A 13,460-nucleotide genomic window follows, 5' to 3' on the forward strand; every position below is an offset into this window, starting at 1 on the left:
AGAGTATGCAGTGAGGAGAATGTCTTAAATTTGTAAAGCACTTTGTTCCCCCTTACCCAGAGAGTTGTTTATTGTTACAAATATTTGAAAGTTTGCTGGAGGTTATTTTGATTGTCAGAATAGGGACAGACACTTTTATCAATAGCACAGTTGGAAGAGTTCATCAGATACAGGATTCTCAGGTTCTCTGAGTTAGAAGTTAAAACAAGATTTCAAAACTAGGTTTCTCCTTTGGCAATAAAATAAGCATGTAGATAAATAAATGAGACATAAAATTAATATGTAGAGCATGGCAGCAAGATCAAATTAAGATTTATGATTCAGTGTGGTAAAGCAAAGAAAATAAAAAATTAATTAGTTAATCTGACTAATTAATTTTATTGCCCTTTGTCTGAAGTCAACACCCTATTTTCTAAGGGAAAGACTAGGAATATGAGAAGCTTCCCAATAAGTTTAAGTCCTGTATTTTGGCTTGCTATCTGAAACAGCAAGATTGGATGTTTCTTAAGCATATTCAAAGCTTCGTTTGCTTAGCCTGAATGCCGCATAAAATGCCACACAAGTCTATGAGTTGGTGAGGGATGCATTGGCTTTTGTCCACTAATAAAGTTGAAACAAATCATGTTGTTGCCTCAAATGTTTCCTGGGCCAGATGAAAACAGGGACTCCTACATAATGCATATGTTCCAATAACTGCAGAAAATGAAATTAAAAAAAAATCTGTAGTTTGCGAGAGCACAGTGCTCATAGCACAAAAATGCCAGTATGAGCAAGAAAAATAAAAACAGACTTACAAATGAGTATATTTACATGCCGAAAAAGAAGAGAATTTAAATAACCAAAGCAGGTGAGCTGGTTTCACAAAGAGAACATTATGTTATTTAACAGAAGGCATTACTAATTCTACAGTTAAATATATGGTGAAAGGTGAAGGGAAATCAGAGAAGCAACCTGCAACTGTCTGTAACAGAAAGGACTCCCTAGGCAAAGCCCTTAAAGGGTCTAAAACCTGCAGCCACAACTTAAGTAACCATAAGAAGTCTTACTTTGAGGATGTGAGTCTGCAAAAATCAAAGAAAAAATTCTTCCAACATTTCTGAAATTAGCTTGAATTTGCTAATTGCAAACAGACAAGAAGAAGGAAGACTGTTGAATTGATTTATAATTCTTGCAAAGGCTCCCCTTTATCTATAAAAAAAGCAGAAGATGAAACAGTGGTATCTATGTATTTAACAAAATTTAGTGTATAAATAGTTTTGGCACCTAGAAATAACTGATCAGATAATTACATGAAGTCATGTTATTAAACATGATAGAATCTGACTAATGAAGATATATAACAAAAATATATTTTCATCAAAAAAATAATTTTTAAGTGAATATATATTATTCAGAAACTGTAGGCTTTAGAATGCTAATGAAAAAGCCTTGACTCCCTAGCTATTTACATGGCTTTCAGCTCTCCAAAACCAGTGACCTAGTCGAATTAATGTTGGCCTCAACTTAAAAGTCATCTGTATAAATAAATAATGTACATCCTCTGCATACTTTTTGCTTGAGCAGTTTCAGTGCAGACGTCTGCTGGAATTATGAGAAGCTTCCAAAGAGATTAAACTAAGAACAAAATTAAAATATGTTTTAGAGGATAGTCTAGATTACAGCACAAAATTTGAAGATCAAAGTCTTAACATAATAAAGACTAACAACTAAACATAAAGACTTTTTTGATTATAATGTCAGCTAAGATTGAGTTATTGAAATATATGAATATGCAAATATATATCTCACATTCCAACACAGGAACTATTTGAGAAAATGTGATTTGGACAGTAGTTACAGTAAGGAAAAAAAAATTCAGAATCCTGGATGGAAAAATATAGTTTATAGTAGAAAATCATGCCATGTTTTGTTTTATTTGTTTTGTGTTTTCAGATCTGTATTAGAAAATGTACTAATCATTCTAAACTGGAAAAATGCAATTTAAATTATCTAGATAATTTAAGTATTTGCATATGTACATTTTATCTAATTTATACAGATTAATTATTATATCAAATTGAGTTTCCTAAAGAAATATTGACCATTCTAATTTTTTTTGGCTAATTATATTGTAATTCTTATTAGATGATATGGTTTGGCTCTATTTCCCCACCCAACTCTCATCTTGTAGCTCCGATTTTTCCCATGTGTTGTGGGAGGAACCCAGTGGGAGGTGACTGAATAATGCGGGGGGGTCTTTCCCATGCTGTACTTGTGACAGTGAATGGGTGTCACGAGATCTGACGGTTGTAAAAACAAGACTTTCTCTGCACAAGCTCTCTCTTTGCCTGCTGCCATCCACCTAAGATGTAACTTGCCTTTCCTCGCCTTCCACCATGATTGTGAAGCCTCCACAACCATGTAGAACTGTAAGTCCAAAAAACCTCTTTCTTTTGTAAATTGTTCAGTCTCAGGTATGTCTTGATATATCAGCAGCATGAAAATGGACTAATATAGTAATTTGGTACCAGTAGAGTGGGGCGCTGCTGAAAAGATATCTGAAAATGTGAAAGTGACTTTGGAACTGGGTAACAGGCAGAGGTTGGAAGAGTTTGGAAGGCTCAGAATAAGACAGGAAAATTTGGGAAGGTTTGGAACTTCCTAGAGGCTTGTTGAATGGTTTTACCCAAAATGCTGATAATGATATGGACAATGAAATCCAGGCTGAGATGGTCTCACATGGAGATGAGGAACTTGTTGAGAACTGAAGTGAAGGTGACTCTTGTTATGTCTTAGCAAAGAGACTCACGTCATTTTGCCTCTGCCCTAGAGATTTGTGAAACTTTGAACTTGAGGGAGGTTATTTAGGGTATCTGCTGGAAGAAATTTCTAAGCAGCAAAGCATTCAAGAATTGACTTGGGTGCTGTTAAAGGCATTCAGTTTTATAAGGGAAGCAGAGCATAAAAGTTCAGAAAATTTGCAGCCTGACAATGTGATAGAAAAGAAAATTCCATTTTCTGAGGAGAAATTTAAGTGGGCTGCAGGCATTTGCATAAATAATGAGGAGCCAAATAATCCCTAAGACAATGGAGAAAATGTCTCCAGGGCATATCAGAGGTCTTCACAGCAGACCCTCCCATTACAGGCCTAGAGGCCTAGGAGGAAAAAGTGGTCTCCTAGGCTGGGCCCAGGATCCTGATGCTGTGTCCAGCCTAGGGACTTGGTGCCCTGCATCCCAGCCACTCTAGCCATGGCTGAAAGGAGCCAATGGCTTCAGAGGGTGCAAACCTCAAGTCTTGGCAACTTCCACATGGTGTTGAGCCTGCCAGTGCACAGAAGTCAAGAATCGGGTTTCGGGAACCTCTGCCTAGATTTCAGAAGATGTATGGAAACAACTAGATGCCCCAGCAGAAGTTTGCTGCAGGGGTGGGGCTTTCATGGAGAACCTCTGCAGTGCAGAAGGGAAATGTGGGGTCAGAGCCCCCCACACAGAGTCCCTACTGGGGCTGTGCCTAGTGGAGCTGTGAGAAGAGGGCCACCATCCTCCAGACCCTGGAATGACAGATCCAGTGATGGCTTGCATTGTGGTAGTTGGAAAAGCCATAGACACTCAATGCCAGCCCTGAAGGCAGCCAGAAGGGAGGCTGTACCCTGCAAAGCCACAGAGGCAGAGCTGTCCAAGACCAGGGAACCTACCTCTTGCATCAGCATGACCTGGATGTGAGAAATGGAGTCAAAGTAAATCATTTTGGAGCTTTAAGATTTGACTGCCCCACTGGATATTGGACTTTCATGTGGCCTGTAGCACCTTTGTTTTGGCCAATTTTTCCCATTTGGAATGGCTGTATTTACCTAATGCCTGTATCCCATTGTATCTAGGAAGTAGATAACTTGCTTTTGATTTTTCAGGCCCATAGGTGGAAGGGACTTGCCTTGTCTTGGATGAGACTTTGGACTGTGGACTTGCAAGTTAATGCTGAAATGAGTTGAGAATTTGGAGGACTGTTGGGAAGGCATGATTGGTTTTGAAACGTAAAGATATGAGATTTGGGAGGGGCCAGGGGTGAAATGATATGCTTCAGCTCTGCGTCCCCACCCAAATCTCATCGTGTAGCTCCCATTATTCCCACATACCATGGCAGGAACCCAGTGGGAGATGATTGAATAATGGGAGCAGGTCTTTCCCATGCTGTTCTCATTGATAGTGAATTGGTCTCATGAGATCTGATGGTTTTAAAATGAGAGTTTCCCTGCACAAGCCCTCTCTTTGCCTGCTGCCATCCACTTAAAATGTGACTTGCTCCTCCTTGCCTTCCACCATGATTTTGAGGCCTGCCTAGCCATGTGGAACTGTAAGTCCAATAAACCTCTTTCTTTTGTAAATTGCGCAATCTTGGGTATTTCTTTATCAGCAGCATGAAAACGGACTAATACATTAGGAAATAATTTTAATGCCAGCTAAGGTCAAACATGTATTTTAGCTTGAGTGTTATTAAAAGAAACAAATCCACACTAATTTCACAGTGTATGTTGCTTTGTTCCTTGTGAGGAGAGTCTAATCCCTAATCTTCTCATATAAAGAAAGTCTTAATTGCTTTATCATTTATAGACTATTTGTAGATCGATACATAATGAGTCATAAAAAGTAAAATAATTATGAGGAAATTTATTTCTGTTTGTGCAATGTTAGCAATAACTAATAAACTAATAAATATTTATCAATAAATAAATAAATAAATGATATTTATCAAATATTATTTTAAAACAGTTGAATATATATTATATATAATTTTTTATATATAAAATATAATGTTTTATACATATTATATATGTTGTTTGAAGAAGGGCTGTATTTGGGAAATCTCTAGCAATTTTAATAAATAGAAACAAAAATGATATTACTAAAATTAAAATAAATATAAATTCATATCTGTAGACTTTTATTGAAAAGAACTTTCATATTTATTAGTTTGAAAAGAATAACATTTAAACATTTCCAATAATTATAATAGGTAGAAAGTTACAGAAGATTTGTTGACTTAACAAATTTATGTCAAGAAAATTAAGACTATAACTAAAAATCAACCTCCACAATATTCCAGAAAAATAGTAAAGTATTCTTTTTTAAAAGGGTGACCTGCAGAATGGAATAGAAGTTGTTATAGGTTTTCCATATCACTTAAAATGTATTGAAAATATAGTTAGTCTTTATAAATTTAAGTTATCCCTTTATTTTCTGACTTTAAACTTGTACCAATTGATTGCACTGTTTGGAATCATAGTCTGTCTGCTAAAACAGAATTTCATAACAAGTGGTGGCTCATTGACTATTTCATTTGGGCCACTGGGTACTATTTATGAAGATTAAAATTAATGCTGCTAGAAAGGCTGGTTGTTTAATAATTACTACATCCCCTTGAGTCATATGATCAAATTCAAGATCTGTTAGGTATTTTTTCTAAAGTGTGTAGGTTGTACATCATTGTACAGTTTCTTGAAAAGGAAATTGAAAATGAAACATGGTTTTTTCCTTTGAAAATTCACAGATGGAAAAATAAGAGAGTCATTATTAATATTTAAATATATAACTATATTATTTTAAAAACTTAAAAAGTAGCAATAAGTAAAATAAAGATATTATGGCTGCTCAAACATTTGGCCAAACCTTATTCTGGCTATGTCTAAGAGACATATGCTTCTTGGTGAGATTAACTTTGAATCAATAGACTTAATACAACTCCCTTCCCAAATCTGGAAGGGCCTCACCTAATCAATTGAAGTCCTGGATAGAATAAAAAGGCTGAGTAGAGGAAACTCCTTTTACCTGGCTGCATAAACTGGAACACTGTTCTTTCCCAACCTTCAGACTCAGTTAATCATTAGTTGTTGGGTCTCAAGCCTGGCAGCTTTCAGAACTGGAATTGGTACCATGAGCTTTCCTAGTTCTCAGGCCTGTGGACTTGAACTGGAACTACACGTTGGCTCTCCTGGGTCTCCAGCTTGTAGACTGCAGATCTCAGCACTTTTCAGTCCCCTCAGTTGCAACAATTCCATATAATAAATCTCTCTCATATATTTGTGTGTGTGTGTGTGTGTGTGTGTGTGTCTTTGTAAATATATATAACAATAATATAACCTCCTGGCTGATACAGGAGGTTAGCAACCAAGGATTGTGTTGTTCAGGAAGATGAAACACTTTCCCCTAGAATGACTAGGTTATTTTAAAATTTATTTTTATGGTTTCCCTTCTTGCCACCTTTCTACCTCTTCCCTCTACCCTTTGCAGGATCAGGAAATTATTCATTGCTAATGTATCAATAAGCAGATAAGATTTTCGATAGAAATGCAAAAGAAACCTGCCCCAAGAGAAGATCATGAATACAAGGAACGATATTTGGAAGTAGTTTTTGAAAAATAAGGAATGGCTCAGTTTAGCTGGAGATATTGATAGAGAGTTCTATAATAATAACTTGGCATCTCATTGTGGAAGGCCTCATATACCAAACTAAGAGATTTACAATGCTGGATCATAATGAAAACTTCAAAATAAAAGGCATCAGTATGTCAAAGAGATACCTGCCCTCCCATCTTTATTGTAGCTTTATTCATAATAGCCTTAGTGTTCATCAATTAATTAATGGATAAAGAAAATGTGGTATACACACCAAATGGAATACTATTCAGCCTTTAAAAAGAGTGAAATTTTGTCATTTCTGACAACGTGAAAGAACCTTATGCTAAGTGAAATCAGCAAGGCACAGAAAGACAAATACCGCATATTCCCACTTTTAGGTGGAATCTAAAACAATTAAACTCAAATAAAAGCAGTCCGTAGAATAGTGGTTACCAGAGACTGGAAGGTAGAAGGAAGGAGTGAGATGCTTGTGAAAGAATACAAAGTTGTAGTTAAACAAGAGAAATAAATAATAAGTATTTAAGATGTTGGCTATGTTAATTAGCTTGATTCAATCATCCCACACTGTATACATATAGCATCACTATATACCCCATAATTACATGTAATTACAATTTGTCACAAAATTAAATTAAAGCACAATTTTAAAAGAGAAGCACTGATAGATAAGTGCTAGCAGTAAGAGCTAATGTTCTAGTGTGTAGTATACAGTCTTCCCTCCATATCCAGAATTTCTACATCTGCAGATCAAAAATATCAAAAGAAAAAGAGGAAAAAAGAATAATACAATCATTAGATTTTAAAAACAATACAGTCAACCAATTCATGTTGTTCACATTGTATTAGCTGTTATAAGTAATCTAGAGATGATTTGAAGTAGACGAGAGGATAGGCATAGGTTTTATGCCAATGCTATGACATTTCATATAAAAATCTTCAGTATCCATGGATTTTGGTATCCACAGGGGTCCTGAAACCTATCCCCTGTGGATACTGAGGGATAACTGTACTCAAAACCCTACTCAGCACTTTATATGTTGTAATTTATTTAATCCTCCTGTTATATTAAAATGTTGCTATTTTCTATTTTACAGATGAGGAAACAGAGGCCCAAAAAGTTGAGCAACATGCAAACCTCATACAATTAATTACTGGTAAAGCCAGTATTCAAGTAAAAAGTGAAGAGTAACTAAATTCAGAAAAAAAAATCACAGACTTATTAGAAAGATTTGGATGAGTTATGAGGCTTGAAATAGAATCGTAATTGTAGAAATGAAAAAAAGGATGATGTGGGCCGGTCGTGGTGGCTCACTCCTGTAATCCCAGCACTTTGGGAGTGAGAGGCAGGTGGATCACGAGGTCGGGAGATGGCGACCATCCTGGCTAACACAATGAAACCTAGTCTCCACTAAAAATACAAAAAATTAGCCAGGCGTGGTGGCGGACGCCTGTGGTCCCAGCTACTCGGGAGGCTGAGGCAGGAGAATGGCATGAACCTGGGAGGCGGAGCTTGCAGTGAGCCAAGATTGTGCCACTGCACTCCAGACTGGGCAACAGAGCGAGACTCTGTCTCAAAAAGGAAAAAAAAGAAAAAGAAAAAAAGGATGATGTGAAAGAGCTTTATGGTTAAAATATGCAGGACTTGTCAGTAAAATGGGTATAAAAGACAATAAAGTATGAAGATTCAAAATGTGTCGGAAAATCGTTACACCATTAGACAAAATGGAAAAACCATAACGTAGGAAAGAGAAGGCAGCAAATTTCATTTCAGACATTTATACTGGAAACAAGACACAATCTTTCTGTATATCAAAAGATAAAATAAAATTGTCTAAATTATTGAATTGACCATGGTTCAGTGTGACTGAGATTATTACTGTAAACCAAATATCCCCATAGTCCTCTAAATTCCCCAGTGGCATGCATCCTGGTTGAGTTACGTGACTAACTTACCAAAAGGATGTCAGCAAAATTGAGAGCGTTAATAGCAGGTGATTCCTCTCCCTGCTCTCATTCACATGAATGGAAATGAAATAAACCTACAGGATGTTGTTGCAAGATGGAGGTGGACTGGATGACTGATTCAAATTTAGGAGCAGAGACCTGATGAGTGGCACCTTACAATGTTTTCTGATATGAGCGAGAAATAAAACTTTTATATGTTAAGAAATTTATTTTGATTTTGAATGTTTATTGTGATTTGGAGGTTTTATATGTCAAAATGTTTATGGCAGCATAGCCTAACATCTTGACAAATATGCACAACAACGAAAATGTCTAGGTTTGGGTTTTAACTCATATTAATTGTGAATTTTCTGACATCTTTGATTTTTTTCTTTAAGAAATGGCATAAAATATTACTAATGTTAAAATCTAGTGAGCTAATAAATATGAATGTGTTTTGTAAGTCAAAACATCTATTTAAATAAAAATTATTTATATTTTGTTTATTGAATACCAATTAGAGATATTATTGTAAGTAACAAACATTATGGCTATCAGAATAAAAATAAGCAAATTGGGCTCTCAAAAAATTCATTACAGTCTATGAGAACTGTCTTGAAAATAAGCAGAATCCAGAATATCTCCAGAGCTGCACAGCTAATATGGCAACCAATAGCCATATGTGGCTATTGAACACTTAATATACAGATAGCTTAAATTGAAATGTGTTGTAAGTGTACAATGCACAACAGATTTTGAAGAATTGGTATAAAATGTAAAATAACTCTAATAATTTTTATATTGATTGCCTGTTGTCATGAAGACATTTTGTACATATTGGGTTAAATTAGATTATTAAAATTAATGTCACCTGTTTCTTTTTACTTTTTAAAATATGACTACTAGAAAAATTAAAATTACATAAGTAACTCATATTTATGGCTTTCATTACCTTTCCTTTGTAGAGTACTGATGTATGTCTTTCAGCATGTCTGCATGAGCTGGGGGATATCTCACACCAGAGGAGAAAGTTTCTAAATGAAGGACCCTATTTGAACATCTTCCAACTGAAAAATATCTACGAGTGTTAAGGAAGTATAAAAAAGAGGGAAAATGGTTATCCCTTTTCTAAAATTTTTTAAGAGTCACTTTTTAAAAAAGGGAGAAATTATGGTTCACATACAAGTATACAGTGAACACATATCAAAGATTCTATCTAAATCATCCATTACTGTGAGAACCAGTAAGATATTACAACCAAGTCAAAAGAAAATTTTAAGAATAATACATACAAAATGAATAAAGAATTCTGAATTGAATATACAAGTAGATGCAAAATGGGTCTATCCACAGGGCAATAATCACTTGCATTACCCTGGAAACAACTAATTTGCATTTGTATATGCAAGCATAATTTGCATTATAGTCAGTATTCAACAATTTATGGGCTCAAAGTCAATGATAGGCAGAGATACCTGTAGAAGTTAACCGGTCAGAACATCAATAATTTTTTCCCCCATTTCAAAACCTTTCACAATTTTTGTTGGCCGGATGAATAAAATTTTAAAAAAAGAGTTTTAAATTATTTTTCCACATGACAAGGTCAATTGATAGGAATTCTATATTCAAAATTATTATCTGTATAACTATGCATTCTGTGCCAAATATTTATCTTTTTATTTTGTCTTAGAAAGTTTTGTGTTTTATGAAGAAATTGCACAGAAATTAACAAAAATTATATCTTTTTAAACAAATGTATTTAAAACTGTTTTTTCCTAAAGCCCTTCTCTGGTAGGTATAATGGTCCCCCAAAAAGCTATCTACAGTTTAATCCCTGGAAACTGTGAGCATGTTACCTTAGATGGCAAAAAAAAAAAAAAAAAAAAAAAAAGAACTTTCCAGATGTGATATGTGATAGAGGTTACAGGGTTTAAATGGGGAGCGTATCTAGGATTATGCAGGTGGTCCCAATCTGATCACATGAGCACTTAAAAACAGAGAACTTTCTCCAGCTAGAGGCAGAAGAAGCAGATGTAGCAAAAGCCCTCAGAAACGCTCACTTATACTTACATCGAGAAAAACAAAAAATCAAGACAGTTACTTGTGGACTGCTGATGAAGAGGGGTGACCTCCAGAAGGTGAGGGTGATCTTGAGTTAGCAGTCTGCAAGAGAACAGGACTTCAGTCCTATAAATACAAGGAAACAAATTCTTCCAACAACAAATGAGCTTAGAAGGGACTTATATATCTCTGGCAATATAATGCCTAAAGATTGGGTCATCCAAAAAGAAATTAGACCTTTTCAGAACCTGCAAGAAATGGAAATGAGATTATCTCTAATTTTTACATAATCTCTGCCAAAAAATATGTTAATGGAATTGTCAGATTCTTCTTATTCAGGTAACACTCATTTTTTATTGTCTAAACAGTATTTTTAATTTATAATTTTATAACAAAAATTATAAATTTCGTTCAAAATAACCAAATTCACACTGAGAAATGAGCAGTTTTTAACAAACACTAACCATAATCCTAAATATGTAGAAAAATTTTAAAATGCCTGCATCACTGCAGTATGATTATGCCAACCACAAATCACTCTTCACTGGGCTTCGGAGAAACTATTAGTCATGAACATCCAAGAAAAATCCCTGTCCTTACCTTGCAGAGAATTTCTTCCTTTATCATGTTAATCTCTTTCATCTGCTTTTATACATATTTTGTTCATGCTAAACAACACCAAACTGGTTGCTTCCTTTATTCAAAGCCAGTATACTAATTAAAGAAAATTATCTTTCCCTGTGAAACTGCTTAAAACAGTCACTGAAGCAGCATTCTTAGCTGATTAAAAATATTTCATTAATCATTTCTCTTCTGGCTATCACTATAACAATTTATATTTCTTACACCTGTGAAATGACAAAGTTAGGGAAAGAAAATCTGCTAATGTCTTTTTAGAAGCAATTTTTAATGGAATCCCTTCTACAAAGTGCTCTTGCAGATTACTTCAGCTGTGGTGGGAATGGTTTTATTCATATGCATTCTTGGTGGGAAAATGACACCTTAGATACTAAATGTTACTTGCAACCACCACCTATATTTCTCATCCTTCCTTCCCTTTATGGTTGTTTTTTCTTTAGTTATTAGGAAACCATCACTGTTCCACTATAACAGTTGTTAGAGCTTTACCTTATCTGCTTACTGTCTTCCAGGAGCTTATTATTTCATTGTTTAGTGCTTACTAGCATGTGGATTACACATTTATCCTTTCTCTCCTAGACAAGCCATAACATAGTCTCTGCAACTGGCATCTAGTAAAAGCATGAGGTGAAAAATTCAGGGAAGAGTATCTTCCCAGGATTTGTAGAAAGTAAAATACCCTTTAAACCTGCCAATCTGGTTCTCTTAACAGTATCTCAGCAATGACTGTAGAAACACTAATTATAGGGTTCTTTTAATGTAAAGGAAAAAAAAAAAAGATTCTACATCGTGAAGCCCTTAACTTTACTTCCTAAATCTCACAAAGAAGAGATTCTCCTTTGGCTGCCATCATCTCCTGTGGATTACAATTTGCTACATTGCAAAAGTACATTGTGGTTCCTTGAAAGGCTTGAGCTTTCCCATGCTGTTTTGTGAATGGGTTCTCAACTATCAGCCTTGTGTGAGTCTGATGATGTCACACCATGCACTACTGAAAATGTGTTACAATTCACATCCTTAGGGAATCTGTGCAATGTGTTTAGAGAAAGCCTTGTGGAAGAATACTATCAGCCTTTAAATCAAAGAAAAGAAAGACTATGGAGATTTTCCTCGATGGAATGCCAACTCTGTGTAAAACTAATAGACAAAAGTGCTCTATGAAATGTAGGGTACTGGGTTGAAAAGCTTTGCTAGTATCACTGGAAGCTATCAAATTTGTGATGGTCTTTTAATAAGATTTTAAAATCATGAAAATCTAGAATTGCCCATCTTACATATGGTCACAATCTCAATCAACACAGCCAGCCACTTATTCCTGGTACTTACTCCTGTCTAATATAAAACATATTATGTATATTAATTCACTACATTTGAACTATTCCTTGGTAGAGGCATAATCTTAGTTCTAGAAGCACTAAATCTGCTCATACCAGAAAAAAAGATCTCAATCTTTCTTACTTATAATGAACATGGTAAATAATATGCCGATTAAAGCTCATTTAGCAGATCATGTCTCAGTGATCTTTTCAACCCTGTCCATCAACTCCATGAAATGCCGATGTCATACGGAAGGTGCTTTCTATATATTTTGGAAAGAATTGATTAAAGTACCAGATTAAGAAGTGTAACTATATATAAGTATAAGTCAATTCATGCATTCTCTGTAAAAGACAGTTTTTTCTGTGTTATTTTGGAGAGTGGGATAACCTTTTATATAGACAAACTGTCTTTTAAAAAAAATGCTTTGAGTCTCAAGTGACATCCCCTGTCACAACTGGTATCCTGAGAAAAACAACAAGAACAAATGGTGATAAGGAGAGCAATGTGGGGCAGAAGCAGAAGGTAGGAGATCAAATCATGACATAGGCATAAGCCATGATAAATACCTGGTAGAAAGAAAGCTTCTGGGAAAACATCAGGAGTATTCCAGTGGTAGACAAGATATGTGGAATCCAAGATTTATCTGCTTAATTGAATAAAGGATGAGGAAAGATCACTAATTATCTACATTTAAAAAAAAGAAAGAAATCAAAATAATAGAGAATGAAAGAAGAGAGAAGGGCAGATCACAAAGAAAACAACATTATAATAAGAAAAAGGGAGATGAAATAAATGTTCTTATTTGTCAGTATTCTTTCTTTTTACAGAGAATGAGATTTTCAAAGACAAACAGAAGAAAATAAACAATGGAAAACCCTGTGGGTGGGGAGAAGAGCTGAAAGACTCCTGTACAGACAGAAGTTATCAGAGTCATTTTTATAGATCTTGGCACAACTTCCCAGAAAGTAATAATACATTGGTGTTAGACATTTGGTCCATTTTCATAAAACCAAAGTTGCCAATAAAGTAATTGTGTTGCTCAAAAGTTTAATGAAAGATTCAAATTAAGAAACAAGAATAAAGTCAAACATTTTATCATCA

General features: G+C 34.9%; 1 long non-coding RNA gene across 5 annotated transcripts in view; it reads right to left on the reverse strand.

The window, feature by feature from the left end:
• LOC107986108 (uncharacterized) overlaps window positions 1–13,460 on the reverse strand; it is a 279,502-nt gene that overhangs the window by 214,469 nt on the left and 51,573 nt on the right. For 3 of the 5 annotated variants that reach the window (XR_001740831.1, XR_001740830.1, XR_001740829.2), the window contains exon 1: window positions 10,410–13,071. The exons of 1 other annotated variant lie outside the window; for it this stretch is intronic. This is a non-coding gene — a long non-coding RNA (uncharacterized LOC107986108). Of the gene's footprint in view, window positions 1–10,409; window positions 13,072–13,460 lie in introns of those variants that run through there. One more of the 5 variants, XR_001740832.2, reaches the window with a different exon arrangement.

The sequence above is a fragment of the Homo sapiens genome, chromosome 3, assembly GCF_000001405.40.
Source record: "Homo sapiens chromosome 3, GRCh38.p14 Primary Assembly".
Classification (NCBI taxonomy): domain Eukaryota; kingdom Metazoa; phylum Chordata; class Mammalia; order Primates; family Hominidae; genus Homo; species Homo sapiens.